The sequence below is a fragment of the Homo sapiens genome, chromosome 11, assembly GCF_000001405.40.
Source record: "Homo sapiens chromosome 11, GRCh38.p14 Primary Assembly".
Taxonomy (NCBI): domain Eukaryota; kingdom Metazoa; phylum Chordata; class Mammalia; order Primates; family Hominidae; genus Homo; species Homo sapiens.
In genome coordinates this window covers 107,985,336-108,007,653 of record NC_000011.10, presented here as the reverse complement: position 1 = coordinate 108,007,653, position 22,318 = coordinate 107,985,336, and positions in this window count along the sequence as shown.

The window sequence follows — 22,318 nt, the reverse complement described above, 5'->3', positions numbered from 1 at the left end:
AACTGAACCTTAAGACAACTTTTGAGAGCTTGATTTCAGCGTCCTACTGTCAACCGAAGCATTCCAATTTTCCTAACTCACTTGTTCTGGAAACACCACTGCTACAACTCTGACTTCAATAAGTTCTCCATTCCATTGACCCCACCTGTTATCTGCCATCTCCTGTTTTCACTCTTTCTCATCCAATTTAGAATCGGCCCACTGTTATAAAAATGTTTAAATATTTAAAATGCTTAAATATTTATTTCTTAAAAATAGCGCAGGCACATAATACAAAATTCAGAAGGTGCTAAAAATAATACAATCAAAAGTAGTCTTCCTTCGACTTTCTGGGGTGATGTAATGTTCTATATTGTGGTAGGGACTTCAGTTATTCAGGTGTATGCACTTGTCAAAACTCAGCCAGTATACCCTTAAGATTTATGCATTTCAGCCAAGCACAGTGGTGCAATCCTGTAAGCCCAGCACTTTGGGAGGCGAAGGCAGGCAGATCACTTGAGCCCAGGGGTTCGAGACCAGCCTGTGCAAAGTAGCTATCGCTATAAAAAATAATAAAATTTTTAAAAAATGTGCATTTAATTCAAAGAGAAAATAGTTAACAAAATTTGAAGTTTAATGCTACCCATACTGAAGAATTTAGGAGTAAGTGAATCTATATTTATAATTTACTTGGAAATGTATCAAAAAATAAGATGAACTGATGGTTGGGTAGAAACACTGATAAAGCGGGCCTGGCGTGGTGGCTCACGCCTGTAATCCCTGCACTTTGGGAGGCCGAGGCAGGTGGATCACCTGAGATCAAGGGTTCAAGACCAGCCTGGCCAACATGGTGAAACCTTGTCTCTACTAAAAATACAAAAAATTAGCCGGGAGTGGTGGCGGGCACCTATAATCCCACCTACTCAGGGGGCTGAGGCAGGAGAATAGCTTGAACCCAGGAGGCAGAGGTTGCAGTGAGCCAAGATTGCGCCACTGCACTTCAGCCTGGACAACAAGAGTGAAACTCTGTCTCAAAAAAAAAAAAAAAGTATGTATATATATATATATATATATATATATATATGGCAAGTATAGTAAAATGTTAATGGTAGAGTCTAGGTGGTGGCTATGCTAGGGTTCCCTGTGTAAAACCAACTCATCTATATGTTTAAAATTTTTCATAATTAAATATTCGGGGAAAATTTTTAAAAAATAGGCCTGCCTTCCTCCACAGTCCCCCAGGCATCCATTCTTTCTTCTCATAGACAACAGTTATGTTTCTTGTGAATGCCTAGGACATTCTGTGCATGTATAAGCATTCATGTATGTATTATTTTTTCTCTCCCCACAAATGATGGTATACTACATATATTCTTTAACATATTTGTTTTCACTCAGCAGTATGGTATAAATTACTGAAAAAAAAATTTGTGCCTTTTTTTTTCACACTTTCTTTTCTTCTTCTTCTTTTTGAGACAGAGTCTTGCTCTATCGCCCAGGATAGAGTGAGGTGGCATGATCTCCACTCACTGCAACTCCCACCTCCCAGGTTCAAGCGATTCTCAACGCCTCAGCGGCCTGAATAGCTGGAATTACAGATGTGAGCCACCAAGCCCGGCTAATTTTTGTATAGAAATGGGGTTTTACCATATTGGCCAGGCTGGTCTCAAATTCCTGGCTTCAAGCAATCCTCCCACCTCAGCCTCCTAAAGCGCTGGGATTACAGCTGTGAGCCATCATACCTCACCTTTGACCTTAAAAGTCAAAGCTTTTAAGTTGTAAGAGGGGCTTCGTGAAATTATGTTGGCAAGTAGAAATGAGCATATGTTTCTTCTTATATTTATATAAGACATATATAAAAATCAACCATTCCTTCTTATATTTCATAGCCTCTTATGTGATTAATTACATGGGAAAATGCTCAGAATATAATAGGTAAAAATATAGGATGCAAAATTCCACATATGTGCCACAATTCCAACTTTGTAAAGAAAGAAAGCTACAGTTTTATTTCCTACTCTGAATAGTGGATAAACTGGAAAAAATATTCAAAATGTTACCAGTGTTTGTGAGTAGTAGAAAATGGGATAATTTTACTTCTATTTATTTAAAATCTTTTTAAAAATCACCTGCTGGCTGGGCACAGTGGCTCATATCTATAATCCCAGCACTTTGGGAGGCTGAGGTGGGCAGATCACCTGAGGTCGGGAGTTCGAGACCAGCCTGACCAAAATGGAGAAACCCTGTCTCCACTAAAAATACAGAATTATCCAGGCTTGGTGGCACATGCCTGTAATCCCAGCTACTTGGGAGGCTGAGGCAAGAGAATCACTTGAACCCGGGAGTGGGAGGTTGTGGTGAGCCGAGATCACGCCATTGTACTCCAGCCTGGGCAACAAAGAGCGAAACTCCGTCTCCAAAAAAAAAAAAAAATCACCTGCTAATTTAAGAAAATGTAGCCATCATGTTAAACCATAATACCTTACAAAATGAAAGTTCTCTATAAACTTTTCTCTCCCACCTCCTAAAATATCCACTGTTAGCCATTTGTTTTATTCTTCTCATTTGTTTTCTGTGTATGCAGTAAAATATATATAAAGGAGTTTGTCAAATGTGGCTGATCATTTACATCAAAATAACCTGGGGTGCTTATTTTAAAAGCAGATTTCTAGGCTCTACCCTCTGAAGATTCTGATTCTACAGGTCAGGAGTGAGGCCCCAAATCTACCTTTTCCCTAAGCATCCCAGGTGACTTTCCTTGTACACCAGTGGCCAAGAATTCTTGTGCATCAGTGGCCCAGAATTTCTCATAGAATACTTAAGAATGTGTGCTTTAGAACCAAACAGATCCTGCCATTTATGAGCTACGAGACGTTGGGTACATTACTTAACCCTGCTGAGTCATAGTTTCCTTGTCTGTATCTGTAATGTAATGTATTACAGTGGCTCACACCTGTAATCCCAGCACTTTGGGAGGCCAAGGCGGGCAGATCACCTGAGGTCAGGAGTTTGAGACTAGCCTGGCCAACATGACGGAACCCCGTCTCTACTAAAAATACAAAAATTAGCTGGGCATGGTGGTGGGTGCCTGTAATCTCAGCTACTGGGGAGGCTGAGGCAGGAGAATCGCTTGAACCCGGGAGTTGAGCAGTGGGCCGAGATTGCACCACTGCACTCCAGCCTGGGTGAGAGGGCGGGACTCTGTCTCAAAAAAAAAAAAAAGAAAGAAAAAGAAAAAGGAAAAAAATGTATTGCACGTGTAAGCACTCAGTAAATGTAGTAATAATAAGACCTAAAACATATAATGCTTACCATATGTCAGACACAGTTCTATGCACTTTACATAGATGAATACATTTGATGTAGGAATTTAATTCCTCCTTGTGGAGACCTTAAGTATCTTTTTTTGTTTGTTTCTTTTGAGACAGAGTTTCACTCTTGTTGCCCAGGCTGGAGTGCAATGGTGCAATCTTGGCTCACTGCAACCTCTGCCTCCCGGGTTACAGGCATGTGCCACCATGCCTGGCTAATGTATTTTTAGTAGAGATGGGGTTTCTCCATGTTGGTCAGGCTGGTCTCGAACTCCTGACCTCAGGTGATCCACCCGCCTTGGCCTCCCTTAGTGCTGGGATTACAGGCGTGAGCCACTGCGCCCGGCCTTAAGTATCTTTTAAACTTCACACCTGAGAAGAGGAAGAGTCAGGTAGCTGATGTGAATGATCCATCATTTAGAAGGGGAAAAATGATGATGGAAAGGATAGAAAGGAGAAAATGTGCTAGAACCATGTTCTTGATAAGGCAAGAGGATGGCACTTAGGGCACACATGGGGAGAGGTGCACCTTGGCTAGCACCATGGACAGTCACACCTACTAGGAGGATAGACACGAGACCGTCGATAGGCTCTTGGAAGTGAAGATTCTCTTCCGATTGCTTCTCTTCTCTAATTGAAGTTGGAAGCCAGGTCATGAGCTGATAGTGAGGATGCTGTGAGGTTTAAGAAGAAAGGAGAAAAGGAGAAGATGGGAAATTGTTATCTATGATGGTGGAAGAGGAAAGAGAAATATATAATGATTCCTGGGCATCCCTAAGTGCCAACTTGAGACTAGTTATCCCAGATTTTAATTGAGGTCTCTCAGCATAGCTAAGGAAATTAACATTCACCAGGGTTAAGTAATGTGCCTAAGGTCTCACAGCTCCTACGTGGCAGGACCTGTTTGATTCAAAAGACATATTCAGCCACTCGGGTGCAGGCGTAGAATTGGATGTAACCAAAGTTGGGGTTTTGCCGAGAGAGAATGATGGAGGGCATTGAGCATATATACAAGGGAGTGAGTATGATGATCGACCCTTGGATTTAAGCTGAATTAGGAGGCAAAGAACAGTGAAAAAACAGTAGGGTCAAAGTACCGTCCATTCACATTGGAGTCTAAGGATTGCTGGAGTCAAGATGGAAGAGGTACTAGGCTGAAAAGATAGCAGGGGATAGTTGGAGAATGAAATTGAGCTTAGGTTGTTATTGGGAGCATTATGGGTAGTGACAAAGGCTACACTCTGATCAAGATTGAGAGTAGTTGGCTGGGCGCGGTGGCTCACGCCTGTAATCCCAGCACTTTGGGAGGCCAAGGAGGGCAGATCACTTGAGGCCAGGAGTTGGAGACCAGGCTGGCCATCATGGTGAAACCCCGTCTCTACTAAAAATACAAAAATTAGCTGGGCATGGTGGCGCACACCTGTAATCCCAGCTACTCAGGAGGCTGAGGCATGAGAATCACTTGAAACCAGGAGGTGGAGGTTGCAGTGAGCTGAGATCACACCATTACCCACTAACTGGGAAATAGAGTGAGACTCTGTCTAAAAGAAAAGAGAGAGAGAGAGAGAGAGAGTAGTTGAGTTGGAGAACAGGAGAACAGAATCATTAGAAAAGTGGAGGTTAAGGAATGGAGAAGCCAGGCATACCAGACGCTTTCGGTGTTCAGTCACATCCTCTTGACCTATTTCTGATTTCATCAGCGGCTATGAACATTCTATGTGAGCTCAGATGTCCCTGATACCTTCCCACATGAAAAGAGCACCTCTCCTTTCTGCTTTCACCTCAAGGTCTTCTCTGAAGGTCCAGGAGCCTGCTAGGTCCACAGACAAGTGCAGCAAAGCACAAGGAAGACAATGCTTTTGGGGACAACTGCCAACCAGGAGAGTCAGCAGCCACTGGATATGTGTCCCAACCTCTGTTCCATTGGTGGACAATTTTATGGGGCACTCAGGATGCTTCCCAGAGATCTCAGTGGACCTGAGTCCCCTTTGTTCATGGTGGTGACCTTGATGGCACACTTTTCCTCCTTCCTTATCTTACTCTCCCTACTTTCTCATTCCTGCCTCTTGGGTTATCTCCCAAAGAAATCACTTCTATCCCAGGTCCTTGTTTCAGACTCGCTTTCAGGAGAAACCTTAATAAAACACCAGGGTACTAATAATCTTTTTTTTTTTTTTTTTTTTTTTTTGAGACAGAGTCTTGCTCTGTCGCCCAGAGTGGAATGCAGAGGCGCAATCTCGGCTCACTGCAGCCTCCGCCTCCCAGGTTCAAGCAATTATCTTGCCTCACCCTCCCAAGTAACTAATAATCTTTTATATAGAAGTTGAAATCACTAAGAATGACCACAGGAATAATGCTGGAGAGAATGATATTGGAGTCAAGATCTAAATTCATTAAGGAATGAGGGCATATGATCTGGGAAGTCATTACATGAATGAAAAGGAGCATTAATGCATGAGTAGCTGACTGACACAAGACTCAGAGCTGAGCGTTTTTAGGGAATGGGGAGGATGATCTGGAAGTGGCAGTGGGAGCAAAGAGGACCCATGCACGAACTGTAGGCCCGGTGGTACATCAGCCATCTTGTGAGAGAGATGCAGAAAAAACAGTGACTTCAGGAGGGAACCAAGTTTCACTTAGAATAAAAAAGTAAACGGACTTCTTTGCTGTAGTTGTAAGTGCAGAAGCTGGGGAGGGACACTTTTATCCCAAGTCCACAGGATTTTTGGGAATGCTCCTAATCCTTGCTAGAAGAGGCAGGGAACCCAGGGAGAGAATGGGTTTATCTGGGGTACTGAGAATTCTGGGGAACAAATTTTAATGACTAATTTGGAGCTATTCTTCTCTAACTCTTGTATAGTCACTTACCCTTTCAAGAGTCTTCGTTTGTTAACCAATCGTTAACCAGTGCCTAAAGCTTATGCCTCAATTATATTTGCTATAAATATTTTCTATAAATAATGATATATTATTTAATTCAAGGATGAATTAAATAATATGGGGCTTGGCTGGTCATGGTGGCTCATGCCTGTAATTCCAACACATTAGAAGGCCAAGAAGGGAGGATCACTTGAGTTCAGGAATTCAAGACCAGCCTGGGCAACATGGTGAAACCCCATCTCCACAGAAAACACAAAAATTAGCCAGGCGTGGTGGTGCATGCTGTAGTCTCAGCTACTGAGGAGGCTGAGGTGGGAGGATCACTTAAGCCCATTAGGTCGAGGATGCAGTAAGCCGAGATTGTGCCACTGCACTCCAGCCTGGGTGACATAGCGAGAACCTGTCTCAAAATAAAAATAAAAATAAAATAATATGGGGCTTATACTATTCTATTTATATAACAACCCCAAATACTGAAAAATAACAAAAGTGTCTAAAAATTTTAAATATTGCAAAACCACATCCTTATGCACCACCAGAGTTATCAATTCTTGAAAAAAACAGTGCTTAGGTATATGGTTTTCGGAAAAAATGGATTTTTTTTTTTTTTGAGTCAGAGTTTTGCTCTTGTTGCCCAGGCTGGAGTGCAATGGCGCGATCTCGGCTCACCGCAACCTCCCACTCCTGGGTTCAAGCGATTCTCCAGCCTCAGCCTCCCAAGTACCTGGGATTACAGGTGCGTGCCACCATGCCCAGCTAATTTTATATTTTTAGCATAGATGGGGTTTCGCCACGTTGGCCAGGCTGGTTCAAACCCCTGACCTCAGGTGGTCTGCCCACCTCAGCATCCCAAAGTGCTGGGATTATAGGCAGGAGTCACCACAGTCAGCCACAAATGGATATTTTAACCAACCCGATGGGCTGACCAACTTGCACCCTGTGGATTTGCTTAGGGCCGGTTTATCTTCCACTGTATTAGCTAGTGTTGTTGATGGATGTAACTGGGACTAGATGCAGGTCTTCCAAATTGTGATCCAAGGCTTTTCCTGCCTGAAGGATGGTTTCAGAGAATAAAATCAAAGAAAACAGCGACCAAAATGCTCAGGGCATGCTTCTCTTGTCCTGTGAGGTGGACCCTTCACTTCTGAACCTTCACTTCACCTTTCCTGTGGCTGCCTCCGACCCTGGTTCCTCTGTGCCCCTGTCTACAACTGTGGACTCGCTCCCACAATGTACCCTGACTCTTCACATGGGGCAGGTGGTTAACCTGAGATGGTTCTAGGTTTTCTGATGTTTTTACTGGATGTGTTTTCTTATCCTCTAGACCTGTTTGCTCCAGTGACTAAGTCAAGCTCACCCCTCTCCTTTCCTCTGTCAGTAAATAGATTTTCCAGCCGCTGGAAACTCTCCTTGGAAAGAATGCAAGTCTGAGGTTTTCAACTCCAGGCTCCTTAACCTCCCACTTTGGTGCCCCCTCAGTGGCCACGGTTGGGTTTGCAGCAGCTGGGATGGGTGGTGTTCAAAACTCTATTTCAACAGCTACCCCCAGTGGAATATCAGTTAACTACACTGGCAAGAGCTACCTGAGATCAGGTTGACTTGGCTTAAGGAGAATTTCAGACAGACCCTCAAAGAAACACACGTACACAACACACATATACCAACACTTCTGATACTTGTTTCATTATCCATAACTGTTCACTTTTTAAATACCAGAAAAGACAAACAATTTATCTTGTCTAAGTGGCACTAAGTAGAAGAAACAAAAATGAGCAGCCGTTGGAGAATTATGACACTTTTTATTAATGCTATCATTTGGGAGACTTCATCTAACTAGAATTTTATTTTTAAATTTTATAATAATACTTTTTATTTATGCTACTATTACTTAAAAGCCTTATCTAACTTTATTTTTATGTTATTTATTTATTTATTTATTTATTTTGAGATGGAGTCTCACTCTGTCACCCAGGCTGGATTGCAATGGCGCAATCTCGGCTCACTGCAACCTCTGCCTCCTGGGTTCAAGCGATTCTCCTGCCTCAGCCTCCTGAGTAACTGGGATTACAGGCACACCACCACGCCCAGCTAATGGGGTTTCACCATGTTGGTCAGGCTGGTCTCGAACTCCTGACCTCGTGATCTGCCTGCCTCAGACTCCTAAAGGGCTGGGATTACAGGCGTGAGCCACCGGGCCTGGCATAACTTATTTTTAAATATGCTCAGTTCAGACAATTAACAAGATAAAAATGAACCATTTGAAAATAAGATTTTAGTAATGTAATTTACAGATTTACTTTTTACATGAAATTCAATTTCTTAATTGATTCATATCTGAAGTAAATTGTCAGAGTATTTTTGCTGTGCCAAAGCTATCTAATAGTTATAGTATAAAGGATGCATTGTGCTATACTTTTGCTTAGTAAACTACTTATTACTTATAAAATCAAAATACTGCAAGACTTCACAAGTCTAGGCAATGAGGTCACATCAACTTTTTTTTTTTTTTTTTTTTTTGAGATAGAGTCTTGGTCTGTTGCCCAGGCTGGAATGCAGCAGTGCAATCTTGGCTAACCGCAACCTCTGCCTCCAGGGTTCAAGTAATTCTCCTGCCTCAGCCTCCCTAGTAGCTGGGATTACAGGCGTGCGCCACCACGCCAAACTAATTTTTGTATTTTTAGTAGAGACAGCGTTCCACCATGTTGGCCTGGCTGGTCTCGAACTCCCGACCTCAAGTGATCCACCTACCTCGGACTCCTAAACTGCTGGGATTATAGGCATGAGCCACTGCTCCTGGCCCACATCGACATTAATACCTAAATTTTGCTGCTCCTTTTACTAGCCTCCACTTCCCCTATCACTTTTAAATTTTGTTTTATTTTGTTAGTCTCCAAGGCATGCTTCAAAATGCTCAGGATCAATTCTGCTTATGTTGTTCTGCTCCATTGAGCTCCATAATTTAGTCAGCTATCTAAAATATATTGGTGATTTCAAAAAATATAATTAGAAATGCTAATTATGAGCCAATTGAGAATATGCATAAGGGAACAAACAGGGCTTAAAATATTTACATTGTGGTAGTAAAGCTGTATTGTAGATTGCATCTTGAAAGGTCAAGTGGTTTTTTTTTTGTTTGTTTTTTTTTTTTGAGAGAGGGTCTAGCTTTGTTGCCCAGGCCAGAGTGCAGTTGGGGAGATCACAGCTCACCGCAACCTCAGCTTCCTGGGCTCAATCGTTCCTCCCACCTCAGCCTTCCTGAGCATCCTGGCTAATTTTTTGCTTTTTTTGTAGAGATGGGGTTTCACTGTGTGGCCCAGGCTTGTCTCAAACTCCTGGACTCAAGTTATCCACCACCTTGGCTTCCCAAAGTGCTGAGATTACAGGAGTGAGCCACCACACCAGGCCCCAGCTGGTCATTTTTCCCTCTCTTTTGTTTGAATAGAACTTGTGCATTCTGTCATAGGTGGACTGGCTGGAGAACCACAGACCTCCCTTCAATTCTTGAAACTTAGAAGGGACGATAGCCTGAATCTTCCCACTAGGTATACACAATCAACTCAGACTAGCAGGAACAGCCTGTTACATTCACCTCTAATATGAAATTAATTCTGCCAAATTAATCTGCATATTCAATAAAATTTCAATATAATACTTCAATCATTTTTTTAACAGAAACTTGACAAGACAATTGAAAATGTATTAGGGAGATAAAATGTGGAAGGACATACTAAGATATGGGCTTAAAAAAATGTTGAAGAAGGCCAGGCTTGATGGCTCATGCCTGTAATCCCAGCACTTTGGGAGGCCGAGGCAGGAGGATCACTTGAGACCATCCTGGGCAATGTGGTGAAACCCCATCTATACAAAAAAATACAAAAAAATTAGCCAAGCATGTTGGCGGGTGCCTGTGGTCCCAGCTACTTGGGGGGCTGAGGCCAGAGGATAGCTGGAGCCCAGGAGGTGGAGGTTGCTGTGAGCCAAGATCACACCTCTGCACTCCAGCCTGAGTGACAGAGCAAGACCCTGTTTCCAAAATAAATAAATAAATAATAAATTTAGTGACTTAAAACAATACAAGCTTATTCTCTTATAGTTCTGGAGGTCAGAAGGCTAAAATCAAGGTGTCAGCAGGACTGCACTCCTTCTAAAGGTTTCAGGAAAAATGTGTTCCTTGCCTTGTCCAGCCTCTAGAAGCTGCCCAAATTCCTTGGCTGGTGGCTCCTTTCTCCATCTTCAAAGCCAGCAGTGTAGCATCTTCTGTCTTTGATCTGCTCCCCTCTACTTCCATTTACACGTGGTCTTTTTTTTTTTTAACTTTAACCTTCGTGCCTTCCTCTTATAAGGACACTTGTGATTATATTGTGGCCATCTGGAAAAGGTTAAACTCCCCATCCCAAGATCCTTAACTTGATCACAACATCTGCAAAGTCTCTTTTGCTGTGTAAGGTAACATGTTCACAAATTCTGGAAATTAGGATGTGGTCATCTTTAGGGGGCCATTGTTTGTCTTCTACACATACCAGCAACTCATAGTCACTCTTATTTCATGTATACTCCAACCCACTTGTAATCAATAGCGTATCATTTCATTCATACACATTTTAGTATGTATTTCTAAAGGATAAGAGCTCTTTAGAAAAATAATACCATTATCACACCAAAAAGCTAACAATAATGTTTTAATATCACTGTTTAGTATTCCAATTTCCCTGACTGTCACATCATTCCTTTATTTTTTGGAGACAGGGTCGTGCTCGGTTGCCCAGGCTGGAGTGCAGTGGTGTGATCATAGCTCACTGCAGCCCCACTTTCCTAGGCTCAAGTGATCCACTTGCCTCAGCCTCCCAAGTAGCTAGGACTACAGGCACATTCCACCACTCCCAGCTAATTTTTGTATTTTTTGTGGAGATGGGGTCTCACTATGTTGCCCAGGCTCAACTCCTGGACTCAAGCAATGTTCCCACCTTGGTCTCCCAAAGTGCTGGGATTACAGGTGTGAGCCACCATGCCCAGCCACATAAATCTTTTCTGTGGTTGAATCAGGAACATATGATCAACACAATATAGGTGGTTGATATATCCCTTAAGTCTTTCTAATTCATAATCTTCTAAGATGGACACTGAGATACCCCACTCTGATCATCCCTCTGTGAAAGACTTATTGCCCCAGATTCTGGCAGTGCTGTTGACAGGCAACATTCAGCTAGCAGTTTCCTCAGGGATTGCCTCAGTGGCAGAGAGCCACGTTACCCAAGGCCACACCCTTTCTGTGTGATAAGAAAGCCAAACAGCCTTATTGCTGATATGGAGGAAGTTTTAGAGGTCTGGATACAAGATCCAAGCAACCACAACGTTCCCTTAAGCCAAAGCCTAATCCAGAGCAAGGCCCTAACACTCTTCGATTTTATGAAGGCTGAGAGGAAGCTGCAAAAAAAAAGTTTGAAGCTAGCATAGTTGGGATCATGAGGTGTAAGGAAAGAAGCTGTCGCCGTAACTTAAAAGTGCAGGGTGAAGTAGCAAATGCTTATGTAGAAGCTGCAGCAAGTTATCTAGAAGATCTAGCTAAGATGACTGATGAAGGTGACTGTGATAAACAATTTTCAATGTAGACAAAATAGCCTTCTTTTGGAAGAAGTTGCCATTTAGAACTTTCATAGCTAGAGAAGTCAATGCCTGGCTTCAAAGCTTCAAAGGACAGGCTGACTTTCCTGTTAGAAGCTAATGCTGCTGGTGATTTTAAGTTAAAGTCAGTACTTATTTACCATTCAGAAAATCCAAGGGCCCTTAAGAATTATGTTAAATTGGCTGGGTGCAATGGCTTACGCCTACAATCCCAGTACTTTGGCGAGGTTGCAGTGAGCCGAGATTGCAGAGATCGCATCACTGCACTCCAGCCTGGGTGACAGAGCAAGACTCCATCTCAAAAAAAAAAAAAAAAAAGAAAAGGATTATGTTAAATCTACTCTGCCTGTGCTCCAGAAATGGAACAATAAAGCCTAGACAAAGCACATATGTTTGTGGCATTGTTTACTGTTTTAAGCCCATTGTTGAGACCCACTGCTCAGAAAAAAAGATTTCTTTCAAAATGCTACAGTTCATCAAAAATGCTTCAAGAGCTCTGACAGAGATGAACAGAGATGAATGTTGTTTTCATGCCTGCTAGCTCACATCCATTCTGCAGCCCATGGATCAAGGAGTCATTTTGACTTTCAGGTCTTATTACTTAAGGAATACATTTCCTAAAGCTGTAACTGCCATAGCTGGCAATTCCTCTGTCAGATCTTGGCAGAATAAATCAAAAACCTTCTGGAAAGGATTCACCAGTCTAGATGACATTAAGGACATTTGTGATTCATGGCAGGAGGTCAAAATAGCAACATTAACAGGAGTTTGAAGGAAGTTGATTCCAGCCCTCATGGATGACTTTGAGGTGTTCAAGCCTTCAGTGGAGGAAGTAACTGCAGATGGGATGGAAAAAACAAGAGAACTACAATTAGAAGTGGAGCCTGAAGATGGGACTGAATTGCTGCAATCTCATGATCAAACTTGAATGCATGAGGAGTTGCTTCTTATGGATGAGCAGAGAAAAGTGATTTCTTGAGATGGAATCTACTCCTGGTGAAGATGCTGAATCCTTCATTGTTGAAATGACAATGAAGGATTTAGAATATCATATAAACTTAGTTAATAAAGCAACAGCAGGGTTTGAGAGGATTGACTCTGATTTTGAAAGAAGTTCTACGGTGGATAAAATGCTATCAAACAACATGGCATGCCTCAGAGAAATCTTTCATGAAAGGAAGAGTCAACTGATGCAGCAAACTTCACCATAGTCTTATTTTAAGAAATTGCCACAGCCACCCCAACCTTCAACAATCACCACCATGATCAGTCAGCAGCCATCAACTTCCAGGCAAGACCCTCCACCAGCAAAAAGACTATGGTTTGCTGAAAGGTTAGGTTCATTAGCATTTTTTTCACAACATTTTAGATTAAGGTATGTACATTATTTTTTCAAACATAGTGCTATTGCACACTTAATAGACTACAGTAGAGTAAAAACATAACTTTTATATATACAGTGGGAAACAAACAAAAAATTCTGTTACAGAAGGTGCAGGATTGGAAAACAAAAAAACAAAAAAAGCCTGGATTCAGTAGCTCATGCCATAATCCTAGCACTTTGGGAGGCCAAGGTGGGCAGATCACTTGAGCCAGGAGTTCGAGACTAGCCTGGGTAATTTGATGAAACTTTACCTCTACAAAAAATACAAAAATTAGCCAGGCTTGGTGGCACATGCCTGTAGTCCCAGCTACTTGGTAGGCTGAGGTGGGAGGATCGCTTGAGCCTGAGAGGTTGAGGCTGCAGTGAGCCAAGACTAGCACCACTGCACTCCAGCCTGGGTAACAGCTCAAGACCCTGCCTCAAACACAAAAACAAAAAACAAAAAAAGGAAAAAAGGCCAGGTGCGGTGGCTCACGCCTGTAATCCCAGCACTTTGGGAGGCAAAGGCAGGTGGATCACTTGAGGTCAGGAGTTCCAGACCAGCCTGGTCAACATGGTGAAACTTCATCTCTACTAAAAGTACAAAAATTAGCTAGTAGTCCCAACTACTCTGGAGGCTGAGACAGGAGAATTGCTTGAACACGGGAAGCAGAGGTTGCAGTGAGCCGAGACTGTGCCATTGCATTCCAGCCTGAGCAACAGAGCGAGACTTCGTCTCAAAAAAACAAACAAAAAAAATTTTGTGACCCACTTTATTGCAACAATCTGCAACTGAACCTGCAATATCTCTGAGGTGGGCCTGTATAACCCAGTTAAAAATGTGCTGGGCTTGATAAGGGAGGAAAGAGACTGTATTCCAAAAAGAGCTATAGGACTGCCAATATGTGCTGGAGTATTGTGCATGCTATCGGTCTCTGAAGGTGTTTGATCAGCAGGCCAGAATATAAGGTTGAGTGAGGAAAATTTTATTGATTTTGGAGCTCTTTCATAGGATATTGGATTTAATGTTTTGGCAAGAACCCGAGGAGGTAGTGCCAACTTTCTCTGTTGATGCCTTCTAGAAACATAGAAAAGATGATGTCCACACTAACCGGAGTTAGATGCCAGATGCCAGAATTGTTGTGACAGGTGGGTTTTTCTTTTCTTTTTTTTTTAGATGGAGTTTTGCTCTTGTCTCCCAGGCTGGAGTGCAATGGCACGATGTCGGCTCACTGCAACCTCTGCTTGCTGGGTTCAAGTGATTCTCCTGCCTCAGCCTCCTGAGTAGCTGGGATTACAGTGGTGTGTCACCACACCTGGCTAATTTTATTTGTATTTTTAGTAGGGACATGGTTTCACCATGTTGGTCAGGCTGGTCTCAAACTCCTGACCTCAAGTGATCCCCCGACCTTAGCCTCCAAAGTGCTGGGATGACAGGCGTGAGCTACTGTTTCTGGCCTTTTTTTTTTTTTTTAAACACTTGCTATGGACTAAGGCAACGGCCCCCAGCCTTTTTGGCACCAGGGACCAGTTTTGTGGAAGGCAATTTTTCCGTGGATGGTGGGGAGGGGAGATGGTTTTGGGATGAAACTGTTCCACCTCAGATCATCAAGCCTTAGTTAGATTCTTAGAGGAAGCGCACAACCTAGATCCCCGGCATGCACAGCTCACAATAGGGTTCATGCTTTTATGAGAATCTAATGCCACTGCTGATCTGACAGAAGGCAGAGCTCAGGCAGTAATGCTCACTCGCCCACTCACCTCCTGCTGTGCAGCCCGGTTCCTAACAGGCCATGGACCAGTACCAGTCCACGGCCCAGGGGTTGGGCACCCCTGGACTAAGGGACATGGCAGGTAGTAGAAGAAAGGGTTAAATGGCTCTGAGAACTGGGCATGCTGAAATGGATATTTTAGAAAAGTAGAAAAATCCTCCAGATGATTCTGTACCACAGAAGGGCCCAGAGATACATCATTTACCGAGGCAATAAGGAATGTCCTGGTAAGAGGGGCGTCTGTGTCACTCACTAAGAAGGTCAACTGTGGCTCTTCTCCGGAGGATAGGGCTGATGGTAGGAGAGGTCCTTACAGAACTAGGCTCCCTGATAGGATTGGCAATGATACGACTCTAAAACAGAGTCTAGATGGCGACACTTCATTCTTAGAAACCATAACGACACAATGATCATAAAGTATGTCAAGGTCAAAGGGGCAGTCAGAGGGGGTCTTATTTGCAGAGATTTATGGAGATAGTTGCAGAACATGGTGTCTGATGGCTAATTTTATGTGTCAACTTGGCTGGGCCAAGGAGTACCCACAAATATTATTCCCAGTGTTTCTGTGAGGGTGTTTTTAGATGAGATTAACATTTAAATCAATGGAATTTGAGTAAAGCAGCTTACTCACAACAATGTGGGTGGTCCTCATCCAACCAATTCAAAACCTGAATAGGAGAGAGAAACGAGCCTCTCCTGAGACAGAGGGAATGCTCCAGCAGACAGCTTTTGGACTTAATTTGCAACATTAGCTCTTCCTGGCTCTACGGCAGATAGGCTTTAGTCTTGAACTGCAGCATAAGCTCATCTGGGTCTCCAGCTTGCCAGCCCACCCTGCAGATTTTGGACTTGCTAGTCTCTGTAATTGTGTGAGCCAATTCCTTACAATAAATCTCTTTCTTTGTACGTAAACATCCTATTGGTTCTGTTTTTCTAGAGAACCCTAACTAATACATGTCCCTGTTATAAAAATAGATGAGCCACCAAGGCTGGGTGTGGTGGCTCATGCCTGTAATCCCAGCACTTTGGGAGGCTGAGGTGGGTGGATCACCTGATGTCAGGAGTTCGAGACCAGCCTGGCTAAAATGGCGAAACCCTGCCTCTACTAAAAAGACAACAATTAGCCAGGCGTGGTGGCCTGCACCTGTAATCCCAGGTACTCGGGAGGCTGAGGCAGGAGAATCGCTTGAAACTGGGAGGTGGAGTTTGCAGTGAACTGAGATCACGCCAGTGCACTCCAGCCTGGGCGACAGAGTGAGGCTCTGTCTCAAAAATAAATAAATAAATATACTTTTTAAAATGAAATAGATGGGCCACCAAACTGGTATACTCAATCTATATGATCAAAATAAATCAAGGATGTATGATCAGGAGGTTGAGAACAGTCACCCCAATAAAAAGTCATAATCCCTTGCCCGGTTTTCAGAACTGAGCCAGTTTTCAGATCCAGAGTCTACTGACTTTAGAAGAGGTTGGGTCTCCAGGGTCAGACGCAGTGGCTCACACCTGTAATCCCAGCACTTTGGGAGGCCGAGGCGGGCGGATCACGAAGTCAGGAGATCAAGACCATGCTGGCTAACATGGTGAAACCCTGTCTCTACTAAAAATACAAAAAATTAGCCGGGCGTGGTGGCAGGCACCTGTAGTCCCAGCTACTCGGGAGGCTGAGGCAGGAGAATGGTGTGAACCCAGGAGGTGGAGCTTGCAGTGAGCCAAGATGGCACCGCTGCACTCCAGCCTGGGCGACAGAGTGAGACTCCGTTTCAAAAAAAAAAAAAGAAGAAGAGGTTGGGTCTCCAGAAGGAAAGACCCTGCAACACCTCAGCAAGTGTACGTATTAGAGTAATGTTTGCCTCCATCCTTTTCCAAAGAGAACTGTAGCCATTTACTTGGGTAACTATGCACAAGGACCATTGGACACAAGGTCCAAGTTGACTCTGATGACACTCAGAGACCTGAAGTGTCATCATGGGTCCGCTGTTAGAATAGGGGCATACAGGGATCAGGTAATAAATGATCCCCTGCTTAGGGACAGCTTACAGCTCACGTGGGTTCACTGTATCTAGAGACTCATCCAGTGGTCATTTCCTCATTCCTCAAATGTATAATCGAAATAGACATACAGTTATGTGCCACATAACAATGCTTATATAACAGTGGTCCCATAAAATTATGATGGAGGTAAAAAATTCCTATTGCCTGTGATGGCACAGTTGTCATAATGTCATAGCATAACATTATTCAAGTGTTTGTGGTGTTGCTGGTATAAACAAAACTACTGCACTGCCAGTTATATAAAAGTATAGCACATATAATTATGTATAGTAAGTAACACTTGATAATGATAATACTGGCTTCTGTATTTACTATACTATACTTTAAGTGGTTATTTTAAAGTATACTCAGGTCCGGCATGGTGGCTCATGTCTGTAATCCTAGAACTTTGGGAGGCCAAGGCGAGTGAATCACTTGAGGTCAGGAGTTCAAGACCAGCCTGGCCAACATGGTGAAACCCATCTCTACTAAAAATGCAAAAATTAGTCAGGCATGGTAGCATCTGCCTGTAATCCCAGCTACTCAGGAGGCTGAGACAGGAGAATCACGTGAACCTGGGAGGCAGACGTTGCAGTGAGACGAGATTGCACCGCTGCACTCTACCCTGGGTGACAGAGCAAAACTCTACCTCAACAACAACAAAAAATAATAAAATAAAGTGAACTTCTTCTATTTATATAAAAAGAAGTTAACTGTAGAGTAGCTTCAGGTAGGTTCTGTCCATCATGATTTATTCTAGAAGAAGGCATTGTCATCCTAAGAGGTGATAGCTCTATATGTGTTATTGTCCCTGAAGACCTTCCTGTGGGACCGGATGTGGAGGTGGAAGACAGTGATATTGATGATCCTGATCCTGTGTAGGCCTAGGCTCGTGTGTGTTTGTATCTTTGTTTTTTGATTTTTGTTTTTGTTTTTTTGTTGAGACGGAGTTTTGCACTGTTGCCCGGGCTGGAGTGCAGTGGCACAATCTTGGCTCACTGCAACCTCCGCCTCCCGGGTTTATGCCATTCTCCTGCCTCAGCCTCCTGAGTAGCTGGGACTGCAGGCACACACCACAACGCCTGGCTAATTTTTTGTATTTTTAGTAGAGATGGCGTTTCACCGTGTTGGCCAGACTGGTCTTGAACGCCTGACCTCGTGATCTGCCCGCCTCAGCCTCCCAAAGTGCTGGGATTACAGGCGTGAGCCACCGTGCCCAGCCGTGTCTTCATTTTTCACAAAACGTTTAAAAAACGTTTAAAAAATAAAAATAAAGGCCAGTGCTACTCAGGAGGCTCAGGCAGGAGAATAGCTTAAAGCCAGGAGGTGGAGGTTGCAGTGAGCCGAGATCACACCACTGCACACCAGTCTGGGTGACAGAGAAGACTCCATCTCAAAATAAATAAATAAATTTATTAATTAATTAAAAAAATAAAATAAAATAAAAAAATTTAAAAATAGAAAAAAGCTTATAGAATAAGGATATAAAGAAAGAAAATATTTTTGTACAGCTGTACGTGTATTTTATGTTTTAAGTTGTGTTATCACAAGAGTCAAAAAGTTCTTAAAAAATGAAAAAGTTTATAAAGTAAAAAAATTATAGTAAGCTAATGCTAATTTATTATTGAAGAAAAAGTTTTAAAAATAAGTGTAGTATAGCATAAGCATATAGGGTTTATAAAGTCTACAGTAGGTACAGTAATGTCCTGGGCCAACACATTCACTCACCACTCACTCACTGACTCACCCAGAGCAAGTTCCAGTCCACAGACTCCATTCATGGTAAGTGCCCTATACCGGTATATCATTATTTCTCTTTTATATCATGTTTTTATAGTACCTTTTTTGTTTAGATACACAAATACTTACCATTGTGTTCCAATTGCCTACAGTATTCAGTAGTGATATGCTGTACAGGTTTGTAGCCTAGGAGCAATAGGCTCTACCACACAGCCTGGGTGTGTAGTAGGCTATGCCATCTAGGTTTGTTAAGTACACTCTATGACGGTCACACAATGACAAAATTGCCTAATAACACATTTCCTGGAACACATCCCATTGTTAAGCAACATGACTGTGCCTGGTAATTGGCACATACTAGATCATTAGCCTGTTTCTCCTCCCACCCTCCACACTCTGAAAGTCCCCAGTGTGTGTTGTTCCCCTTTTCATTGTGTAGTAAAAACTAGCGTAGTGGGGAAGGCGAAGTAGTAGCTTCCGAAAGTGCACATGTTCCCTGGCCAAGATAATAAATATATACTGGAGGAGATGGTGAAAATTAGGACCATTGTTAGACATTTTAGGATTCAGGGCTGGTAATCCTCATATATCTTCATTTAATTTACCAGTCCTCCCCCTGAAAACACTAAACAGATATTGTAGAATGGCAGTAGACTCTCAAACTCAACCAATTATGGCACCAGTGGCATCAATCGTAGCACTGTCCCAGATGAGGTATCTTTGCTTGAGTAGATTAACATGGTCCTAGGTACATGGCTTATGGCTTTTGATTTGGTGAATACAATCTTTCCTATCCCCATAAGAAAATAGGATCAGAAACAGTTTGCATTCACATGTAATAGACCACAGCAGAAATGTACAGTTTTGCCCTAGGGCTATGTTAACTCTCCTGTCCTCTGTCATCCTATAGTCCAAAGAGATCTGGACTATGTCAACATCCTGTTCAACATCATTTTGATAAATGACATCATGCTATCAGGTGGAATGAGCAAGACGTGGCTATAATGCTGGAAGTCTTTATGATGCTGGAAGCTACATTCACTTCCGAGATGTGAAATAAACCCTATAAAGACTCAGGAACTTGACACAAGAGTGAAAAGTGATCAGGTGCATGCTGGGATATTTCACCTGAAGTAAAGAATAAATTGCTGCTGGGCGAAGTGGCCCACACCTGTAATCCCCAGCATTTTGGGAGGCCAAGGCAGGTGGATCACTTGAGGTCAGGAGTTTGAGACCAGCCTGGCCAACATGGTGAAACCCCGTCTCTACTAAAAGTACAAAAATTAGCCGGGTGTGGTGGTGGGCACCTGTAATCCCAGCTACTCAGGAGGCCGAGACAGGAGAATCGCTTGATCCCGGGAGGTGGCGGTTGCAGTGAGCCAAGATCACGCCACTGCACTCCAGCCTGGGTGACAGAGCAAAACTCTGTCTCAAAAAAAAAAAAAAAAAAAAAAGGAATAAATTGCTGCATCTTACATCTCCTGTTATGAAGAAGGGAGAACAAATCTTGGGTCTCTTCAGATTCTGAAGGCAAGTTAGTCCAATCAGGCAATGCTGTTTTACCCATGTACCAGGTTTCTAGAAAAGGAAAAGGCTCTGAAGCAGGTCTGTATTGTCATGCAAGTGGCCTTGCTGCTTGAACCAAACAACCCGCAGATCCTATAGCATTAAACGTGTCGGCGGTAGGGAAAGACACCCAATGGAGTTTATGGTAAGACTCAATGGGAGAATCACAAGCAGCCCTAGGTTTCTGGATCATAGTTGTTCCATCCATAGTAGAGAATTATATGCCTTAAGAAAAGCTACTAGCATGATACTGGGCACTGAGAGAGGTGAAAAGCCTGACCATTAAGCACCAAATGACCATAGGGCTACACTTGCCCTTCGTCAGTTGGTTTCCATCAGAGCCACCAAGCACTGCAACTCTATTTTAAGAGATGGAAGTGGTGCATCCAGGATCAAGCACAAGTCATACTGCAGGCACAAGCAAGCTGTGCAGGCAAGAAGCTTGGAATCCTGTGTCATCCAACACTTTTTTTTTTTTTTTTAACTTTTAAGTTCAGGGTTACATGTGCAGGTTTGTTACTTAGGTAAACTTGTGTCATGAGGGTTTGTCATACAGATTATTTCATCACCCAGGTATTAAGCCAGTACCCATTAGTTATTTTTCCTGATCTTCTCCCTCCTTCCACCCTCCACCTTCTGAAAGGCCCCAGTGTGTGTTATTCCCCTCTATGTGTCTATGTGTTCTCATCATTTAGCTCTCACTTATAAGTAAGAACATCTGGGATTTGGTTTTCTGTTCCTGAATTAGTTTGCTAAGGATTATGGCCTCCAGCCATCCATGTCCCCGCAAAGGACATAATCTTGTTCTTGTTTATGGCTGCATAGTATTTCATGGTGTATATGGACTATATTTTTTCAATCCAATTAGGTTGATTGCATGTTTTTGCTACTGTGAATAGTGCTGCAATGAACATATGCGTGCATGCCAACATTATTTTTTTTTAAGAGACTGGGTCTCGCATGGGCTAGAGTATGGTGATGCAATCATAGCTCACCACAGTCTTGAATTTCTTGACTCAAGCAATCCCACCTCAGCATCCCAAGTAGCTAAGACTACAGGCATGCACCACCATGCACTTTGTATCCTTCAATCCAATCAAGTTGACACTCAGTATTAACCATCACAAGTCCACCCCTTGTCAACTTGGACCCATACACATCTCCTGAGATCATACATAATCTTCAAATAAAGACAATAAGTTCATAATTATGCCCAACATAATACCACTGTCCTTCGTACAACTGGAAATGCAATAATCCCCAACTCAAATACTATTACATAAAGTTAACAATACTTAAACTCTCATGTGAAGTCAATAAATCTTGTCACATGATAAAGGACAAGGAAATAAAATAAAGATATTTTCTTAGTACAAGTGTATACATGCACCAACATGTTTTTAGCAAAAGAAGGAGGAAATGGCCAGGCATGATGGCTCAAGCCTATAATCCCAGCACTTTGGGAGGCTGAGGTGGGCAGATCACCTGAGGTCAGGAGTTCGAGACCAGCCTGACCAACATGGTGAAACCCCATCTCTACTAAAAGTACAAAATTAGCCGGACATGATGGCACATGCCTGTAATCCAACTACGTGGGAGGCTGAGGCAAGAGAATCGCTTGAACCCAGGAGGCGGAGGTTGCAGTGAGCTGAGATCACGCCATTGCACTCCAGCCTGGGCGACAGAGCAAAAAAAAAAAAAAAGAAGGAAATACTCATGACAATTACAGCCCCTGTTTCTGCAGTTGGTCACGTGGTCATAGCTGGTATTGATAACTACCTTCTTCTACTACTCATTCTGTATTCCCTTTGCCTTCAGCAAGCACCTCAGCAGGTAGTGTTTTTTTTCCCTGGTGGAGTGACCCAAACCTTCATTCCTGAGGGGTCTGGGCCATTTGTACTCCTGCCTGGATTGGGCTGTTGTAGTTTCTTATTGACCTTAATCACAGGGCATGGTAATACTAAGAGATGCCCTAATGGATTTCCCATATTCCATGCACACTCTTCCTCACCACCATTGTGAGTAGTAGACTGATTTCATGTTGAGGAAAA